At 31.1% G+C, this 2,152-nt stretch overlaps 1 annotated feature.

The window, feature by feature from the left end:
• Positions 1,582-1,778: a silencer, noted in NCBI's record as "fragment chr7:89018574-89018770 (GRCh37/hg19 assembly coordinates)". NCBI's record gives its function as "represses an EF-1alpha promoter that drives an FKBP-Casp9 reporter gene in an ReSE screen in K562 erythroleukemia cells {active_cell/tissue: K562}" and the evidence as "EXISTENCE:reporter gene assay evidence [ECO:0000049][PMID:32094911]".

Raw genomic sequence — 2,152 nt, forward strand, 5'->3', positions numbered from 1 at the left:
CAGTAAGAGAGATCTCTTTTAAAAAGAGATATCAAAGCAAAGCCTAATGGGACATTTTTCGTTGTCCTAACTCTGCTTGGCATATCCAGTGTTAGACATTTCCCAAGAAATTGAACTGATGCCACTCTGACTCTCCTGGAATCAGTGCTCAAAAAAGCAACCAACCAGCAAGTTCTTGTAAAGCACGCTTCAGTCCGCATCACTCCTCAGTTCATAACCTTTTAGTGGGTAAAAACAAGGTCCTTTTCTTATTAAATTGCTTCTATTAATGTTGATTTCTTATTAATTTGTATGTTATTTTTATGTATTTTGAATACTAATTCTCCTTCAATAAAAAACATTTTAAAATATATTCTCCAAGTTTGTGGCTTACGGTATTTTCAAATCATTTTAATGTAGTCAAGTTGGTGAATGATCTGTTTTAGAGTTTGATATTTTGTAGGTCTAATTTTTTAGTTCTTTCTCTATTCTAATATTTAAGTATATATTCTATATTTGTTTCCTTACACTTTGAAGTTTTGTCATTCATATTTAAGTCTTTAATTCAATTGCATTTTTTAAAGTGTTATATAAAATCAAAAACGGATGCCACCTTTTATATTGTTAAAATTGTCTCAGAACCATTTATTAAATAGTCATTTCCCCACTGATGCCCATTGTTAATACATCAGAGTCTCTTGTCATTTATCATTTCTATTAGCTTTTGACTCCACTGCCACCTTCCCAATGAGGACTTTACTTATTTTCCTATAATTATACTCTACCCTTCACACAATCACAGATAAGCTTTCTATGTACCTTTCTTGGATAATTTTTCTCTGTAGCAATTATCACTACTGATGTATTATATGTTTTAGTTATTCATCTCATTGATTTATTTTCCCTCAGCTATACCACATCTCCATAAGAATAGAGTTTTATTTGCTCTATTGTTGCTGTATCACTAAACTTTCAAACAAAATTAGAATACAATAAGTGCTAAAAACATATTAACTCATGAAATTTATAGTCTGTATGTTTTTTGCCATTCCTATACAAAATGTCTTAATTATTATTTTACAATGTGTCAATATTTTGTATCTCAATCTATTCACCTGGTCTTCTTCACTGAGAGTATCTTGGAACTGGGTTAAATTTACTTGCACAGCTATAAAAAATACCCTATTTAGGGGGATGTTAAATCAGCATACCAATTTGGGAGAAACTGAAAATTTTTTACATTGAGACTTCTTTTCCACAAATATTGTTTATCTCTTTAGTTGTGTAGGTCTTATTTAATTGCCTTTAAGAATATTTGTAATTTTGTATATACAATTCTTGCATACATTTTGCTAGTGTGTTTCTTAAGTTCATTTTGTATTTGTTGCTGTTGTAAATGATAATTTTTATTTATTTATTTATTTTTGAGATGGAGTTTCACTCTTGTTGCCCAGGCTGGAGTGAAATGGCGCGATCTCTGCTCACAGCAACCTCTGCCTCCCCGGTTCAAGCGATTCTCTTGCCTCAGCCTCCCAAGTAGCTGGGATTACAGGCATGCGCCACCACGTCCAGCTAATTTTGTGTTTTTAGTAGAGACGGGGTTTCTCCATGTTGGTCAGGCTGGTCTCAAACTCCCAACCTCAGGTGATCCGCCTGCCTCTGCCCCCCAAAATGCTGGGGCCTAAATTTTTTTATAGAGGTTAAATTAGGTTTTTAAAATACAGACTGAAAAATGAGTTTTATTTTCTATTTCAAACACAGATGTACTTTGTCTCTTCTTGTGTATTCTTTTGTCTTAATATGATGGTGAATACCTCTAATAAGTTGTTGAATGAAAACCATAAGTCAGTTTTATCTTTCTCCTTATTTTAACAATAGCATTTACAAATTCACCACTGAAGTTATATTTGTTGTAGGAGTTTTCCTGGGGGTATTCTTTTTCAGATTAAAATTTTTTATTTGACTTATTTACTTCATATTTTTATTAAAAAAGAATATTTTAAAACTCTATTAATGTGTTATTTAGACTGTTATTGTGACTTCCATTTTTATGTTCTGTAGACAGCATTATAATGCTAGAATAAGACTTAAGTCATAATATTGTAGTATACTTTTGTATATTACTTGTTAATCTTTAAATAATTTTTATGTATATTCTTACATATATATTATG

The sequence above is a fragment of the Homo sapiens genome, chromosome 7, assembly GCF_000001405.40.
Source record: "Homo sapiens chromosome 7, GRCh38.p14 Primary Assembly".
NCBI classification, from domain to species: Eukaryota; Metazoa; Chordata; class Mammalia; order Primates; family Hominidae; genus Homo; species Homo sapiens.